We start from the raw sequence: 19,248 nt of genomic DNA, 5'->3' as shown, positions 1-19,248 counted from the left end.
CTGGAATGAGTAGGATATGCCTGCCCACTGGAGCCACTTGCTGTGGGGAGATGGCCACAAAAGGAGGAAGGTAGGCCTTTTGGAGCTCTTTGGAGGCTGCAGTGAACTCTGACTTGAGAAGAGAGGGAAGGAGAAGGAAAAGCTGTGGAAACTACAGAAGACTGGTATCTTCAGCTATTAATAATGCTGTAACAAAATACTTGAGGTTGGGTAATTTATAAAGAACAAATTTATTTCTCACAGTTCTAGAGACTGGAAGTCTAAGATCAAGATGAAACAGGTTTGATTTTTGGTGAGGGCTTGGTCTCTGCTTTCAAAATGGCACTTTTTGCTGCCACATCCTCCAGAGGGGAGGAGCACTGTGTCCTCAAATGGCAGAGGGAACAGAAGAGGCAACAAAAGGGGGCCGAGCTAGTTCCCTCCACCCCTTTTATAAGGCACTAATCTATTCACAGGGGTAGAGCTCTCATAACCTAACCACCTCCCAAAGGTCACACCTCTTAATACTGTTGCATTGGGGATCAAGTTTCAAAGTGAATTTTGGAGAGGACACATTCAAACCATAGCAAGAGGATATTTGATATGCATCTGAAAGGGTGAAAAAGAGCTCACCAGACAGAAAAGTACGCAGAGGGAAAGTTTTCATAAAGGCCCTGAGACCTGGAAGGCCCTGGAGTCCTAGAGAAATGGGGAGAGGCTCAGTGGAACAGGAATAAAGAGTAGAGAGGCAGCTATGGGGCAGTGGGATAGGACATGAGGTGGGAAGACAGGTTCTGACCCTGGAAGGCAGGCTATAAGGAGTGTGGACCTGGTACTCTGGGTGGCAGAGAGGCATATAGAGAGACCAAGTAAGGTTGGCCTGCAATAGCCCTGAATCAATTCATTACATAATTATTTATGAAGCTATACTAGGTGCTCCCACCTTGCTGGGCTCTGGATATCCAACAGTAAAGAAGTCAGACTTGACCCTGAGAAAGTTTACACTTCCTCTCCCTTTCTGCCTGCCTCTCTCCTTAACACCATCTTACCTGTTGCTACTCTCAGAAGATTGTAAGCTCCCAAAGGACTGTGTTACTCATCTTCTGCCTGGAGTACTCTCTCTAAGGCCTTCTGGGAAGAAGGTGATGAAGAAACAGCTGTGAAAATGAACATATTGACACTTTAGGGAGTTCTGAGATCATCAGATTGGAAATCCTCCACAGCTGGTGCTCAGCCAAGGAGTCCCTAATGTGGTAAACTTTCAGCTTGTAGAGACCACCCTCCGTGGCCCCAGTGTGTGCCTGTTTGTCTGGGATGTGAGGACTCTGCAGGCATCTAAAGGTGTAAACACCTGTGCACGTGCCTGAAAGCAGACGTGTGTCTGGGCTCAGAGGTGCATGTTGGGTGCTTCTGTGTCATGGGCCCTGTGCGCTTGTCTGGGTCTGGACACGTGGCCGTGCCTGTGAGATTTCCCTTTAGGCTCTGTTGGTTTCTGGAGGATGAAGAGCCCAGGCCTCACCTTGAAAACAATCCTGTTGTTTGTGATTTCCTGATAGTGACAGTGTCATTGCGCTTGTCTGTCCCTCGTGCACATGTACACACATACCCAGCACCACTTGGGAGCCGCAAGCTCTGAGAATTCCTGAGAGACTGCCACGGGCCACTTGAGTGGCTCACTAATGGGCTAGCTTCCTTCCTCAGAGAAATGGTCCAGGAAAGGTTTCTGGAAATGAAATTTCAGTATCAGTTTAACGTCAATAAAATACAACAAAGATGAAGTGGCAAGAATTCGGGTGCTTCTGCTGATGCTGCTTTGATGGGAAAGCTCTTCCGATGTCTGGAGTCTGGGAAGAGAGTTCTTTCAAGAGGTTCTCAGCGGCTCCTGCTGGCTTCCCCATCGCAAGCAGGCCCAGGTCTTTCCTCCTGAGCCTTTAATCACAATGCTGACAGCAAGGTGGACTGCCCCAAAGGCTGCATTTCTCCAGGTGCCAAAAATTAAGCCAGTAGGACAGCCGTCAAATTGACAAATCAGTCCATTTGTCCGGCCAGTCTCATTTTCCTGATGGAGACAAGCTTACAACGTTGTGTTTCTAGACTCAATCAGCTATATTCATTGAGTCTATTCCTTTCTCAGTGAATGGCCTTGTGAACCCCTTAGGCATCACCAACTCCTAAGTCCCCCTGCCTTGAATCCTCATCGGAACAAGGTGGGAAAATAAGCAATGGAATGAAATCAATACCTACTGTTTCCCCCATGTATTACCAGTCACTCCAGATCTATACGCTCTCTCTCAAATCTGCTTTCTCTTTCTTCTCTGAGTGAACTTGAGAAACCAGGAGGACCTTGTTTTTGCTATGCTGCCTCAGGCAGAATTAGCTTTTTTGTTCTTTTGCACTTTGTAGAAAGGAGTTGCAAGACAGTGAGTTCTCAGCAGGAAGGCTGCTTAGGGGGCCTTCTGGTCAGTACATGTTCAATTTGCTCTCTGCCCTCACCTCATGCCACTGTGCTCATTTCAAGCTGCATTTCTGGGCCAAGATGGTGAGAACTAGCCATCAAAATAAAGAAGACCCTCAGAAAACTATGCAGACTCCAAGAGTCAGGGCCAAAAGCACCTTTGGGGTTTCTCTGTCTGCACCCCTATTTTCTAGGTGGAAAAACCAAGGCTCAGACAGGCCTAATAAGTTACTCCAAGTCTGCCTGACAGCAGCAGGCCCCCAGTTCACATCCCCTCACTCCAAAATCAGCACTTTGCTTCCCTGCCCCTAACTATGGACCGTGCAGAAGTAGCACACTCACACCATTTTCAAAAGATTTTCTGCCAGTGTTGAAACAAACAGGCCTGATGACATGGTGAAAAGCCAGGGCTTTGGAGTCACAAAGACCTGGGTTCAAATCCCATCTTTGCGTTGATTAGACATTGTCAGGGGGCAAGTTACTTTCACTTCTTTGAGCCTCAATGCCTCATCTGTAAAATAGGGATAATTCTACCCCTCTCATAGAGTTATTGTAAAGATACAATGAAATCATGTACACAAAATCCTTAGCAGTGTTCCTGGCTCAGAGTAAATCGTCAACAACTGTTAGTGCCCCCTCTATCTGGAAGCTGACAAATTCAATTAACCAGAACCACCCATCCTCATCCCAATGCCCTGCCCATTTCCCAAAACTCCCTGTTTGCAGAATCATAAATCTCGTGTCTGAAAAGGAGCTCCATAAATCACCTGGCACAGCCCCTGGTAGCAGAGCTCTCTCTGTATCTGGCTCAGTGTGTTCTGCAGTCTTTTGCTGGCTCAGCCTGCCTCACTCCTTACTGTAAGCAGAAGAATTCCCACCAGCACAGCCAAAAAAACAGAATAATGCTGTCAGTGGATTCTACAAAAGGGCTAATATTAGCTGGGCAGGAGGATTGGGGGTGGGGGTGTACCTATATTTGGAATCTATGTCTTCAGCCCTTTCCTGAGGCAGCAGAAGTTGGGGGGATGGGGGAAGGGGTTATTGCCAGGATTGGGCAGAGCAGCTGGGCTAGGTCTCCCCTTCTCTCTGTTGGGTGATTTCCTTCTCCCCAGGATGTGGGTGGCAGAGGAAAAAGGCTGCTGGGAGGGAGAGGGGAGGCTGCAAATGGTACCCCCAAAGCAGCAAGGAGTATGGCAGTGGTAGAGGCCCCCAAAGTCTCCTGTAAGGATGACAGGGCCATTGGAACCTAGCTGTAGAGAGTCCTGGAGGGGTGGGTTCTGTAACCTTCTACTCCAAGATGGGATCCAAAGAGCATGTTTCTGGCTGTGTCTTCCTGGAGAGGCCTTGGATAAAGGCCCAGGCATCAGGGGGCGCTGGGCCTGCGCTAGGAGAAAGATGCATGCCGGATGTATCCCTAGCAGCAGCTCTTTGCACATTCTCCCACCCCCCTCCAAACATCTACACTTTCTTTCTCTGCTCTTAAACTCATCTTGGGGCTCCAGTGTCCCCCTCTGTGAACACTTCCTGCCTCCTGGAGACCCTGCTAGCCCTTCTGTGCAGGTTAGAAGACAATGCCCTTCCTCCAGGCAGACATAGCCCGGCACCGGGGCACAAGGCTGGGTGAGCAGAGTGTGAGCTGGCTCTGAGGTCCCTCCTGTCCTCATGTCTTATACAGTATGCCATTAGCAAGTGAAGGCCACAGCATACTGTATAAGTATACTTGGCAACAGCTTTGGGGCTGAATGAAATGGCCAGTGGCCTGAGGTCCAGTCTCCTAGGTAGTATAGCAGGATGATTCTCAGTAAGGATCCTTCCCATACCAGGTCTTGATTTTCCTGCCCTTAAAATGAGGAGGGTGGGTGAGATGCCCTCCAGGGTCTCTTTCAGCTTTACAGTCTATTTATCTGCTCGTTTTTAGGCGGCATAATGAAGATATAATCAGAAAAGCATGTGTGCTCTACCTTCCCCCCACATAAAACCCATATGATCCAAAGAGAAATGGAAATTACTTTTGATTTATTCATGGTCTGATGTTGCTGTTATCTGCTCCCTTCTGCTAGGGTCTTAGGCTGGACCAGGAGGCCTGTCTATACAGGATGCTAAGGATTACCTGTCACCCAGGGAGAACCAACTTCTATTTGCCCTCAAGCTGCATCTGCAGCTGTGGCACTATGATGGCCCTGGGTCTGGAAGTTTAACCCAACAAGACTTGGGAAACTTGAACAAGTCTGCAGTGGACTTAATGACTGTTTTCTAGCATCATGTCACTGTTTTGAAACGGTTACTGGGCTGCATTTTCTGTCTTCCTTTTTCTATCTTGGAGAGATGGGCAGGAATCAGGGAAGGCCTGGGGAGTGGAGACAAGGCTAGCAGGAAAATGAGGAAACCAAGGGTGTGAGTACCTGCCTGGTGGAGTTGTGTTGCTCTCAATTGGTTTGCTTGTTTGCAGGCCGCAGGGCAGCAGTGTCTTCTCACCTGCAGAGTGCAAAGCGCATTTCTGGGCTGGCACAGAAACATGCTTGCCCTGCTTTGCCTACAGGCATCTTTTGCACATAAATAACTTAAAAGCACCAAACTTTGCAGGGGAAATGTTTGCATGTGGCTTGCGTCTGAGAAGCACAGGCATACACACATAAATGTTGAAGGATTAAACACACACAAACACATGCCCGCATGCGCGCGCACACACAGACACACACACACACACCCCGCTCACACATACCCAGCACCTTCTAACTTCTTTGAGGATTGTTTATTCCCATGAATAGATTTTAACTTGGTGATTTTTAGAGTCAGGGAATGTTAGGGCTGGAAGGAATGTAGGAGATTATTCAGTCTGTCAGAGTTCCAACTTTTACTGACCACAAAGACATCTTCAAAGGAAGTTTTACAGGGATCCAAAGTGTATAAAATACAGAAAAGCAGAGATGTTCTGGATAAAGTGGTGAAGTGAGGGAGGGTTGCTTCCAGGATTCCCCTGAGCACTGTGCGAGAGCCACTGAGCATTCCCAACTCCCTGCAGGAAACTGAGGCCCGGGGAGAAGTCTTCTGGCTAAGGTCACATGGCAAGTGAAGGGTGGGGCCCAGCACCCATGCCAAAGCCAAACCCTGGGGAAACTCATTTCCCAGCCAAACTAAGTTGAAAATGCTGCTTTCTTGGTGAACCAAACCAGCATCCTCTCTACTACAACAGGCTTCCACTGTTACATGTTTAAGCCTTTTTCCCCCCCAATTTATAACAGACTCATCAAATGCCACAGCTGGAAGTGCCAGCTCCGTGGTTTTTAATCTCTCTTCTGCCCAATGCTGGGGTTTCACCAGGGGATAGGAGAGGAGGGGTGGCCTGGTGAGCCCTGCCTTCCACTTCACCATACTAGGTCTTCTCTTAACCATTTTACCAAGATTTCATCTGGAAAAATATAAAGAAGATGCAGGGAGCTACCTTAAACAAAGAAGAAGCTTGAGAAACTCCCATGAAGTATAAACTTCCTCAGATGATCAAATCAGCAACTTGATTTAGTTGATTTTGTGGAAAGACACTGAACTTTGTAAGGAAATTCCTGTATCTTAATTTATTGCAGGACCAGCATGTCATCTCAGCCTTTGCAAATCTGAGAGTGAAAAACGGGATGCATTCTGCAAAAGACCTTCACGAGAATTTGTGAGCAAATTTGGTCGCCAATATGTAACCAAAGGGACCTTCTGCCTTCTGTCCTTAGTCCCTGCCACCCATCTAGGTGTTTACATTTGATGTTTATGTTGCAGGCACCTACAAGCTTGGGTAACTTCCCCACATTAGGACTTCCCTCCTAACATCCTCCTGCTCCACATTTACCACCCCTGCACCCCTGGCCATTTCAGCATCTCAGGCTCTTCCTCATTTCCCCCTCGCACAGTGGGGTGCCGTGGAGGAGTGCTGAAGCTTGCAGATGCTGAGGAGGAGGCCAGCATTCTTCCCTTTCACTGATATTGGATCTGGCAAGCTGTGCACAGCCTTGTCTTGCCAGCCCGCTGCCCCTGGAGGGCCAGGCTCTGATTCTCCCTCAGATCTTTGCAGGGGTCTCCTTAACCTGTTGTTTCAAGGTTTGTTCCTGGCATTAAATCTAATAAGCTCAGGGCTGATGGTTTGATCCAGAGCTTGTTTTAGGAGTTCAGGGCATTTACAGCGCATTTACAGGATGCTGCTAACGAGGCTTTCAGAACAGCCAGCCAACCTCGAGATCTCAGGCCTTTAGAAACTGGGTTTTGTGGAGGCAGTGGGGCAGTGCATGACATGGGCCCTGGTTCCAGGCCCGGCTCCACCGTGTACTAGCTACACAACTTAACCTCTTTGAACTAGCTACACAACTTAACCTCTCTTAAAAATGAGAAATATACCAAATAAGATTGCTTTGCGAAGCGATTGAAATAATGTAAGGAAAGTGGTTGGCCTGTGGTGGGAATTCATTAAATAGCCATTTCTTTCTTTATCGTTTCTAGAGCACCTCATGAAACCCAAGTCCCATGGCTCCATGTGATGTGACACAGGTCAGAGGTCAGCATCCTCTACCTAAGAGTTCTGTCCAGTAACTCTCCAGGGAGAAAGACGAGGGGAGAATCACTTATCAAATGTCATTGAGTTTAAGATGGTTACTTTAACTTTTTAACATCTCTGAAATTAGGATGCATCTTACAGTTGAAGGCATGTCATAGTTCAACTGGCATTGTCATTGGAGGTTATTGTTCCCTTTTCTCAGTGCAACAATTATGCATGGCAGATTGATAGCCCCATTTTACAGATGGAGAAACTAAGGCTCTGAGAGGTAAAGGAACTTGGCCAGGACACAGATTTGTTAAGCGGTAGAATCAGAATTTGAACCAAGGCCTGACTGACTCCAAAGCCTGTGCTCTTTTGGGTAAGTGTAAAGAGAGAGGCTGGTTTCTCTTTGCTTCTTAGGACCATCCCTGAGCAGATCAATGTCCAGGGCCTAAAGGATGTTTTATTTTAGCAAGCAAAATTGCATACATTACTGGGTGTCCGCTATGTACAAGGTACATCCTAGGCATTGGAGGCTCAGTGGTAAACACGATATAGATGGAGTTAAAGTCCAAGAAACCCAAGCAATTACAATCCATTTAATATGGAATGCCATGGCAGCATGTGAGGGGGCCCTTAACTCAGGCCAGGGGAAGCTTCCAGGAGGAAGTGACCTCTGATTTGAAAGTCAGCCCAGCAAAGTGGGTTTGGGGTGGTGGGGAGCATGCCCCAAGCAGAGGGAAGAACATGTGAGAAGAGGCCAGAGTGTGTGTGGCTTGGTTGGAGAAACTGAAAGATCCAGCTTTGCACTACCAATATGGTAGCCAACAGCCACATGTGACTATTGAGGACTTGGAATGTGGCTAGTCTGAATTAATATGTACCATAGATATAATACGAGATGTGCCCTGGATTTCAGAGACTTGGGAGGAAAAATAAAAGAATATAAAATGTCCCATGAGTGCTTTTTCTATATTAGGTAGCAACATTATAATATTTTAGATAAATAAAATTTCTTTATAGATGAAATAAATGTAACATCATTAAAATTGTTGTCATTTTTTTCTTTTTGCTTTTTAAATGTGGCTACTAGAAAATTTAAAATCACACAGGTTTCAGATCTGAACTGTTCTGAAAACAGTTATGATCTAAACAATCCCTCTAGCCACATACACTCAGCTTCCAGGCAATGACTGTTGAATGGAAAGGAGCTTGCAGCAGCTAGAAACTTGTGAGAATGCTAGAGTGGAATCCAGGACTGGTTGAGTCCCTCTGGGAGGTGGGATGTGGGAGGTGGAAAAAGCACTTTGTGACTTTAGAGTCACAAAGGCCTGAGGCTGAAAATCCCTATTTTGCCATTTACTCTTAATTTGACTTTGTCATCTGGAAAATGGAAGCAGACATCACTACCTCCTAGGGTTGTTACAGGAACCAAATGAGATCATCTATGTTCTCATTTTATTTAACTATGAGCTCTGTGTGTGTGGCTGACATAGTCTCTGGTACACAGCAGGTGCTCAGTGCATGGGAAGTATGTTTGCTTCCCCTTCTCTCCTTTCCTGGAGTGGGAGAGTTTGGTCACTTAAGGAACAAAAAGCCCTCATTACTAGGTGGTCTTGCCAAGAGGTAGTCCCAGGCCAGAGGCCACCACTTCCTCTACTGCCACCCCAGGACCCTGTGGGAGAGAGCTGGGGGAGTAGGTGGGCTGAAGAGCCCGTGCCAGGACCACTCTGGCAAGTTCAGTGTTGTGGTTGAAGAGTGGAAGGTGAAGACCTGGGCTCCACCCAGCCCCGCCATTAAACAGCTGGTGCCTTAGGTAAGGCCCTCAGGAGGGCTGGCCCTGCCTTTCCCCTCATGAGGGAAGGTAAGGAGGTAAGCTCAGCAAACACAGACTGTTTACCCACTGTGGCCCTGGGGACACAAATGCAAATACGATTCAGCCCCATCATGGAGGGGCCATGGTCTCTTATGGATTATGGACCTATAAATAGAACACTCCAGATTGGTATGAAAAGTGCAAATAAATGGCAAGAGAACCTAGAGGAGCAAGTGGCTTTGCCGTCTCTAAAGCCCTTTAGAAAGACAAGAAAAAGTCTCTGTAATCATCTTTGTCTTTCCGATTAGCATTCGATGATCTCTTCAAAGACATAACCCTTTGGGGAAGAAGCTTTATCGGGCGGCTCAGGAACGCTGGCTGTTGAGTTCAGTTTGAATGTTCCCCTTGCAGCTTGCTTTTACCCTAGATCTTGAGATCTTCACTGGGGTCAGAAAGGCATACAAGTACCTGTTGGTCTTTTACCCCCAGACTGACTAATTCCATTCTTAGCCTTCAGAAGTCATCATGAAAAATGACTTCAGAAGTCATCAATTTCCCCAGCAGACAAACTCAATGACCTAGATCAGAGTTTCCAAACCTTTTGTGACTGTGGGAATTTTCTTCAGTCTTTTGTGATGTCCTAATACATAGAACAGAAGAGGCAAAGCTGCTTCTGGTTGGGAGGAGGGGAGCTGTTCTCCCACCTGATTTGCTCTTCTGTGAGCCCAGCCCTCTGCTAAGGACTGAATTCAGCCTGTTCCCTGCCATCGTGGGGCCGTATAGTTGAGTAACTGCCCTGCAAATTATACAAGGGAAACACAGAGAGGCAGCCTGAGGCTGGGAGGAGTCATGGTGGGCTTCCTGAAGGAGGTGATGCCTACATAGAGCTTTGAAAGTTGAGTAAGCATTTGTCATGGAAGGAAGTGAAGTGGAGGGTGCTCTAGATAGAGAGAATGTGAACAGCAAGCAGAGCTGGAATAGAAATGAAAAGTTCACTGGGATGGGGGTGAGAGCCATGGTTAGTGAGAAGCAGTGAGAGGAGATACATGGGAGAGATAGGAGGGCCCAGAGGTCTGAGAAACCCTTAGGTACCATGTGGGGAGTTTGAATTTGATCCAGTACAGATGATCCCAAATCATTTAGGAGTTTTCAGTAGATAATTATGGTAATTAGATTTTTAAAATTTTATATAGCAGATTTGTTTGAATATAATTCACATGCCATACAATTTGGTAATTAGGTTGTGGGACTAGAGGCAAAGTCACTTTGGCTACAAAGTGGCCAAGGGAATAAAATCACTGGGGATCATTTTGGATGGCACATGCCTTGTGCACACCCATAAGTGCTAAGTGCCAGTTACACCCTCATTGTTAACAACCCAAACTGGCTCCACACACTTCCAAAGCCTCCAGGGAGGAAAGAACAACAGAGGGAGCTAAGCCTCAAGGCTCCTGCAGGTGGCCAGGCAGGAGGAGATGCTGGGCGAAAGGACGGTGGTGCTAGGGGGATGGGAACCTGGGGACAAATCCAGCAATCACTGAGGAGTCTTGGTGGAGTGGGGCTGCATGCAGGCCTGTGCTTCTCTGCGAGGCCCTGGAAAGGAACCTGCTGGGAGTGGAGGGAGGAAGAGGGGAAGTCAGGGATAGCAGGACATCTACAGAGCCAGAGGGTGAAGAGAAAGCCCAGAAGTAGTTAATCCTGCTGGTTGAATTGTTTTTATAAAAGACACTCTAAAATCAAATAGATGAAATAAAACCACAGTTGCCTTTTCATTAAGCATGCCACAGAGGCCCCTTGTTCAGCAGCCGTTGTCAATCAGATCTGGGCCATTGTCTCTTTCCCCAGCCCCCTGTAATTGGCATCTGTCTGGGAGAAAACAAATAAATGCCAGGCTGGCATTTTAACTAGGGCAGCAAGGAGCCAGGGGCACTGCTTTTCAGAGTCTGCCTGGCCATCGGGGCAGGCGAGGGCCCTGAGGAGCCCTGAGGAGCCCTGAGGAGCCCTGCTCTCTCCCAGGTAGGGGTGCAGCCTCGAGTCCCCACCCACGCAGCTCCCTATTCCCCTCCTGGAAGATGCTGCTCTCATCTTTGCCTAAAATTGTGGCTCTAGAGAGTGCTTTATTTCTGCTTTCTGTCTGTAGAAGCCCCTGGGAGACAGTCTGTAGGAAGGCTTTATTTTTGTTTTTATTCTCTTCAGGAAGCCATGGGAAAAAGAAAAAGTAGACACATTCTCTGGCTAACTTTGGATACAACCACTTAATAGCAGTAACACAGCACTCTTGTTAAATAATACAAACAGAATAAAACGAAAATGGTGAATTAGTTATAGCTTTATTGCAGCATTAGGAGATAAGACTATCACAGCATAGTTTTTAACTAAGAATTTTGTAACAGTAATTTTAGCTACTACTTTGAACAGCATGTTCATGTACAGGTGATTCTCATTTTTTACAGTAGTTATGTTATATAAAGTAGGTGGGAATCCTGAATTAGTGAGTGTGGAACCTTTGCTCCTAAGGGAAATACAGGGTTAGGTTCCTGTAAGCCTCTGATCAAAACATTTTTGTCAGCTCATTAATACATCATCTGGTTTCGTGTGTGTTCTATTTAAAGACATCTTATCTAATATATGTTTTTGATTCCTTGACATTGAACTCTCAGCCAGCAATCCTATAACTCATGCCTGAATGAAGCTTATCTAGCACATACATTTTGCATATAACACATATTACAGCCTTCTTGCACTTAGGAACACCAGCTAGCACTTCAGCACTATGCTTGGTGGACATTTCAAGCAATGAAATCACCAACAAAAAGCACAGCACAAAAATGTGAAAAGTGTAGTACTAAATAGATTGCAAAAAGGAAACTTTTTACATTATGAGAGTTGGGACAAGAAGGCAGAGTGTTGTTTTGTTTAACCTCAGCTGGGAACTTTGCACCTGATGAGTCAAATTTTTCACCTCTTTATGCATGGTCCACAAATGACCATGATAGTGTTGGGTTTGGGGTTACAAGTACATTTCTGGGAATAGCAAAATTCACAAATACAATTTTGTGAATAGGTAGTCCATGAATAATAAGGACTGACTCTACCTTATTTCATTTACATCTCACTCATGCCCAAAACTCTCATGTTTTGATATAGGAAAGTAAGATTTAAAGAGAAGAAGTGACTTGTCCAGTGTCAGATAGCTGAAATGTGGTTCATTATATTATACTTGGGTCAGTTAACTACAGCCCACAGGCCTGTTGCCTGTTTTGTAAACAAAGTTTTACTGAAACACAGTCTATTCATATACATATTGTCTATGTAGCTGCTTTTGAGCTACAATGGCAGAGCTGAGTAGTTGCAACAGAGGTCATATAGCCCACAAAGCTTAAATTATTTACAGCCCAGCCCTTTAGGGAAAAGTTTGTTGACTCCTGTAGTACTCCAGATTTTCTCTTTGAGTTCACAGTTGAGAAAGTTCTCTCTTGTCTCAATACCAGAATTTTTTGTGCTTTTCCCTGGCAATTTGTCTTTCCCTCTTGAACACTGGGAATTTTATACCTGATTATATTTCCTTCTTTACACTGATGTTAAGAAGTTTAAAGCCTAGTAAAACTGCAGATTCCTAGCACTCGCTTGATAGGAACAGAAAGGATCTTCCATTTTGGTTACACTAGCAGGATGTTAGATTGTTTTGGCACAGTCAAAAACTCAAACAATTTATAGGTGATACAGGTGTCTGGGATTTTTCAGTAATGAAGTGGTACATCTGGGGCAGGACCTGGGCTCTGTAAGAATCATAGTTTTCCCTAATGAGACAAATACCTACTTTCTGTGAATAATCTTTTTGTTTTCAACAAACTACAGTTTATCAAGAATTTATTATGTGCCAGATACTGGCCTTAAGTGCTAGTCATACCTTATATAATTTATTCTCTAAGGAATATATTGTATAGGTTAAGAGAGTCTATACCATGGAGGTAAAGATGATTATCCTCTTTTACAGATGAGGAAATGAAGGACCAGAGATGTTTTAATTTGTCTAGGTCACAAAGCAAGGAAATAGGAGATTTCAAATTTAAAGCCAGGTGTGTCTGACTCTAAACCTTAGTCCCTACTATATACTCCATTATTCTATATAGTTTACCTAGCATCAACCTTTATCTTTCCAAATCTCAGAATTAGAACTATGGGCTGAACAGTGAGGCATTTCTGGCATTCTTCTCATATTAGGACATTCATCTTTGGATTTGAACAGGGTAAATGGCCTCCACAGAACAGTGGGGCAGGGCAGGTGCAGGGACTATGTCAAGAGTAGACATATGGAGATTGACAAGAAGGCTTTGCAATAGGCCAAGTATGTGATGATGATGGGCTGGACTCTGGTGCTGGTAGTGAGTTTGGAGAGGCATGTGTAGGTTGTAGAGCTGATTAGAATTAGAACTGACAAGATTCAGTTCTTGATTACATGTGGATGGTGAGAAAGGGAGAGGAAGGTGACAAACAGGTCTCACTTTGTGGCTGGAGTAACTAGGTAGATGGTGGGGCCAATCATGAGACCAGAGAAGAAGCGATTGTGGAGAGAAGATGAGGAGCTTTGTTTTGGGTGGGTGAAGAATGAAACTCCTATAAGATATCCAAAATGCTCACTTGTGAATGTGGTAACCTTTATCCCAACGTGTTTTGTATCTCATAATTTATATATATGCCTGTCTCTCCCATAAAACTCTGTGGTACTGAAGGGCAGAGATCCTTCTGCTTAATGATCCTTTGTTTAATGCACGCAATGGCTTCAATTTGTTTTTTATGGTTACTCTTCTAGACAATTCTGAAAGTCTTATCAGTCTCCTTGGTCACTACTAGTGTGCCTCTAAAAAAAGCAAAAGTCATGCTTTGGCCAATTCAGAGCTGCCTCTGTCTCTATCAAAACCAATAAATACCTGCTGCTGCAATGTTATTGCACCTCTTAAACTCTTTAGTGCACAGCGTAAGTGGAAGGTTGTAAAGACTCTGTTAAGGGAGCCTCTACTGATACTAGTAGCAAAGATAAGGGCCTACTGACACCAGTAGCAAAGATAAGGGCCTGTGCCTTTCAGAAGGATGGGCTCTGGGGCACAGGAGCTCCTCCTGCCTGTATCATTCCTCTTCTTCAACATCAGCATAGTGAATATTTATTGAACATCTGGGCATTAGGATGATGCAAGGTACTTTTTAGCAGAAGCAGGAAAGCTCCATAAAAGCAGGCATTTTTGACTATTTTGCTCATTGCAGTATTCCCTGTGCCTAGAGTGTGCTTGGTATGGTTGACACTTAGTAGGTATGCAGTAGATATTTGTTGAGAAGATTAAGGAATGTATAAAGATACTTCCCTTGATGCGTGAGATCTATCCATTCATCTAACATTTACTGAGCACATGTCAGATCTTGAGTCAGACCTTGGGAACACAGAATAGATCAGCCCTGCACTCAGTAAGTCTTATGACGTAGGCCAGCTGGTCAAAGGATCACAGTCATTCCTGGGAGAAGTGTTACAACAGCAGTAAGAGCTGAGTGCCGGAGAGGCAAGTGGGAGTGCTACTTACTCCACCTGGGAAATCAGATAGGGCTTCCCAGAAGGAGGTAGCATTTAATCTGGGTCTTGAAGGATGAATAAGAGTTCTGAGAGTAGGAAATGAGAAGAAAGGCATCAGAGAGAGGAAATCTTTGTGGGAGGGAGCTGAGACAGTTGCCATGGTCATTTACAAGAAAATACCCTGGGTAGAAGGTGAGAGACGGGAACAGATAGCATAACCTCCTAGGCTGAGAGAAGGACTAGGTTTTTAATCCAAAGCCCTGTTTCCTCCCCATCTCTCATGCTGTTTTATTATAATCCTACTGGAAGATGAGAAGCGAGAAAGATAGAGTTTATTGATAGGAGAGAAATGTTAAAAAAAAATCACACACAAGGCTGACATGGATATATATGTGAAAAGTAGATGAAAGCAAAATGGCTCAGAGCCGCACACTCCAATGGAAATATAATATTTTTAATTTTCTAGTAGTTGCATTTAAAAAAATGAACAGAAACAGGGGAAATTAATTTTAATCATACATGTAACACAATCTATTCAAAATATCATTTCGACATGTAATTTGTTTAAAAATTTAAGAAAAATGTAAATTCTTGTTTTCACTCTAAGTCTTTGAAATGTGATATGTATTTTACACTTTGGATGAGCCGCGTTTCAAGGGCTCCATAGCCACATGTGGCCAATGGCTGCAGTATTGAACAGTGCAGGCCTAGACTCCTAAAGTCTTTATCACGCAATGTGAAACTGAAGAACCAAGGAATGTCCGAGACCCACCCACTCACCCCTTCATTCATGTGCCTAGGGCTTCTGATATAAAGTCAAACAAGAAATGGCCTGTGTCACCAGGGAGCATGCAGTTTCATGCATTACAAGGCAGTGAGCTAGCCATCTAAAAGGAACTGAGATCTGTCAGTTTGTCCGGGGTCTCAAACTGAGGGCTGTAGGCTGTGTGTGCCATTTGATTTTTCCTGTACTGTATCTCAAAAAACATTCTACCCAGGCAGGTGTTATGCTTCGTCTACAGGCAGCTGAACACCTTTGGCCCCACACCTGGCTGCCTCCACTCATTAGGTTGCCTGCAGACCCTCTGCAGACATTTGCCTTTGATAACCCAGGAACAGGTGTCTCTGAGAAATCCTAAGTGTTGACAAGACCAGAGGTATAAACAGAATGGACTTAGAGGGCATCCAAGTCGTGGTTTGCAGCCCCTGCTTATGTTCTAGAATCACCTAGAACAGTTTTTGAACATACTATTTTGGGACCCCACCGTCGGAGATTCTGATTCCATTGGTTTGAAATGGGAATGGGATCCAAGTATTTTCTACAAGTCCTACCCTGTGATTTTAGTCCCATTTCCAACGTGTAACTGCTGGGAAACCACGGCCCAGAGATTTTGTTTGTTTGGGCTGGGGTCACGTAGTACACCAGCCTCCTAATCCCAACCCACTGATGTTTTCCCCAAACAACACTGAGGGGAAGAGGAGGCCCTCAGAACCTTCCTTGAATATTCAGGAGGTATTGCCACACACCCAGAGCTTAGAGCAGGGGGACGGGAATCCGTTACTGCTGTGTTGCCTCTTCAAGAACAAAGCCCTTGTCGGTTTACCACTCTGGGAAGATTGCCAGGCTCAAGTATTAATAATAATCCCTTTGTTTTGTAAATGCCTTATAATTGCATAAATAAAGCTTACTTTCTCTTCTTTAATGGTAATGAGCCTTATTTGGCTGATTGGTTGATTAATAATACTCTAATTCCACTAGTGACAAAACAGGAAGGCCAAAAGATAGATGTTGAGCCCGGGTAGCTTGGGATTGTAAAGCACCCGTGCCGGCCATGTTTTCACTGCTCCCGTGGTATCTCAGTGAGAAGGATAGCCTGGTTTCTTCACAGTCGGACACTGATAAGTAAGAGCAATGGTCAGCATCAGCAAAACGGCGCTTGCAGTTCCTACTTGAACATCTCTTTTTTCTCATTACACAATGTCCATTCTGGAAGACCTAAGGAAGATACTACAGTTGACTCTAGATCAAAGTGGGTTTGAACTGCATAGGTCCACTTAATACACAGATTATTTTTAAACCAAATGTTGATGGAAAATACCATATTCAAGGGATGCGAAGCCCCGTAGGCCATGCATAGGGAGGTCTAGGCCCACTTTTCTCATATGTGGTTAAGTTTGCACAGATTTCAATAAACTGGAGGGTGTGTTGGAATCAGTTTCCCATATATACCAAGGGAGAGCTGTATTCGTCCCTGGTTTTAGTAGCATTAACAGTGGTGCTGGTCCTGGGTTACTAGGGTTACTGTTAGACATTGGAAATTGTGATACTGATTAAAACTAATCATGTTTACTACTTTCCATTGGCTACCTGGACATTTAGGGGCAAACCTGCATACCACCTGCAACAAGTGTGAAGGAGTTCTCAGCAGACATTTTCTGTAGTAACAACAGCTCACATTTTACTGAGCATTTATTGTCTACATGGACTCTTTGCACCTTTCTTTCTGCAAACTCCATGTTTCTGGAAAAACTAGAGTGCACGTCTCACTTTTGTAAAACAAGCAATGTTCTCAATGCCCTTGGGAAATAAAGAAACTCATTTGAATTGTAGATTTTTGTGCTGTACATAATGACCTCGTTACTTCACCATGTTTGCGGTGCCATTTGCTGGTTTTTCAGACTCCCCCTTGACTTACAGACAAGGCCAGGTGGGCCCAGCTGCTGCCTCTGAGTTGGCTGTGAACTCAGCTTCCTTCTTCTCAGCCCAGCAAAGTCTCTGCTCTTGCTAGGAGTCAGACGGCCAGAGCAGAGCCCTGACGGGGCCCACAGTTGTGGACAGCTTTGCACTGTCATGCACTGGCCCAGAGACAAAGGGAAACGGGAGGGCTTTTATTGGTCACCTGCCTCCATGCATTGGGTTCCTGATAGATAGCAGATGGAGAGACACGGGAGTTAATGAGGTCTGCGTTCTGGCCAAATGCTTTCCATCTTCCTCTCGCCACTGAGCCCATTGGAAAAGAATGTTGTGCTGGGCAGGTGGTCAGGGAGAGCTACAAAAGCTGAGCTTTCAGCAAAGGTGTTAGGGAAGGGAGAGAGATAGCATGCACTGATTCAATTCGACTCAATTCAGGGAATATTTATTAAGCACTGCCTCTATTAGTCACCTATATGTATCATCTCATTTTTTTCCTCGAAGATATCCTCCCATGTAATTGTCATTATCCTCACTTTACAGGTAAGATACTTAAAAGACTCAGAGATATTAAGAAATGTGTCTAGGATCACACAGCCAGCCTAAGGCTTAGCCGGGATTTGACTCTAAGTCTTGTTCTTTAAACCTAATACACCAAGCTGCTTCTCCAAGCACCTCTGCCACTTGCTGGGTCACACATTCCTTTTTAAATTGTTTTCAGAGTTACATCTTGAGGTCTCATTTCTGAAGCATCTCTTCTTGCTGTAGTGAGGAAATGGGGTTGGGAAAGAGACGGATCTTCAAAGACTAGGGGAAATGGATGGAACGAGCAGTTTACAGTTATAAAATTTGTTTTCAGTTCTAGCAAGGGCTAGTAGTAATTTAGTCATCAAGACTGGCGTCCACTTCCTTTGGGGCTCCCTACCCTGAGCCAGATGTTTTTTGTTGAATCTGGTAATTTTCAAAGAAGAGTCCAGATTGGAGTGTCAGACCAATGGCTGGGCTCTGTGAATAGAGCCTGTGAAAGAACACAGGAAAAGCACCCATAAACTGTGCACTACACAGCACTTTGCAACCTCTCAGCCTTTCCATGCCCTCTCACAGCAGCCCAGTGAGGCAGGCGTCATTATTGACCCCATTTTGTGGGTGAGAAAACTGAGCCTCCAAGACTTTCCTGGGTCCAGTGCAGAGCTGGGACCCATCGTGTCTCAGAAGATGCAGGTGGCGCCTGGCACGTGATGGGTACTCACACACCATTGAAACTTCAGACTCCTAGCTCTGAGGCTTTTGTCTTCCATCTTATGGTCTCTGCCTCAAGAAAAGTAATCTATCCCGAAGGCTATTTCTTCAAAATATAAGAAAATCCTTACAGGGCTGTGATCTCATGTTCCTCCGCAGGCCCCTTTGGCATCCCCATGGACCATGCATATGACTTGCTTTCATCCATCCAGAGGTTATAAGAAACCAAATGTTGGCAGCATAACATCTTTCTTTGGAGGGACTCAGAGGCCTGCCCCAGTATTTGTCTCTGGGGGTCAGGAAAGAAATTTGAGAGGCTGCAGAGGAAGAAGCCACTGGCTTTGTTTTGTCAAGATCTGTGCTTTTTAAATGGTTTCATCTCCAAACACATAGCGCTCCTCCTCCTAAAGAAAAGCAAACCAAAAAAATTGTAGAAGCCATCACGTCCTACAAAACCCACAGCTCTCTCTCTCTGTATATTCCCAGCCCAGCCTCCAGACCCAAGGAAGGTGGGAAGAGCTGTCCCCAGGGGTTCCTGGTGTGGGGTTCCATATAGAGCCGAAGATACTGTGGGGGCTCATTCCCAAGCCAAGCCAATCTATTTTAGGACATTTCCATCATCCCCAAAAGAAACCAGGATGCTTCCCCCAGCATTTCATGGAATCACAGCAAGCATTTCTTGAAGGAATTCACAGGAACAGGCCTAGCATGGGACCGGGAACAGAGTTTGTGTCTAATGAATGTCCATTCCACAGCCCCTGGAGCAGGGTTTGGTACAGGTTTGTGGGGTCAGATCTATCAGCTTTCCCCACACACAAGCATGGAGGCTACCCTGCTAGTTCAGCTCAGTTTTTCTGCAGAGGTCGATCTCCAGGTATGAAATTATGTCTGGACCCAGGGTCAGGGGGTCGTACTTCCCAGTGAACTTTCCACACAAAAGGTCCAGTCTCCATGGCTCAGGTCAGAAATTACCCACTAGACAGCCTCC

The 19,248-nt window shown here is 45.3% G+C and overlaps 1 protein-coding gene across 5 annotated transcripts in view, besides 2 other annotated features; it reads left to right on the top strand.

The window, feature by feature from the left end:
• Positions 1-19,248, top strand: part of TENM4 (teneurin transmembrane protein 4) — a 788,202-nt gene that overhangs the window by 160,663 nt on the left and 608,291 nt on the right. The gene's annotated exons all lie outside the window — the stretch shown is intronic.
• Positions 9,807-10,306: an enhancer, noted in NCBI's record as "H3K4me1 hESC enhancer chr11:78981107-78981606 (GRCh37/hg19 assembly coordinates)". NCBI's record gives its function as "activates a minimal SCP1, AML or CMV promoter by ChIP-STARR-seq in naive H9 embryonic stem cells {active_cell/tissue: H9 hESC(naive)}" and the evidence as "EXISTENCE:reporter gene assay evidence [ECO:0000049][PMID:30033119]".
• Positions 17,115-17,680: an enhancer, noted in NCBI's record as "H3K4me1 hESC enhancer chr11:78973733-78974298 (GRCh37/hg19 assembly coordinates)". NCBI's record gives its function as "activates a minimal SCP1, AML or CMV promoter by ChIP-STARR-seq in primed H9 embryonic stem cells {active_cell/tissue: H9 hESC(primed)}" and the evidence as "EXISTENCE:reporter gene assay evidence [ECO:0000049][PMID:30033119]".

The sequence above is a fragment of the Homo sapiens genome, chromosome 11 (assembly GCF_000001405.40).
Source record: "Homo sapiens chromosome 11, GRCh38.p14 Primary Assembly".
NCBI lineage: Eukaryota > Metazoa > Chordata > Mammalia > Primates > Hominidae > Homo > Homo sapiens.
Note: the sequence above shows the minus strand (reverse complement) of the source record. Positions and strands in the feature narration are given on the sequence as shown.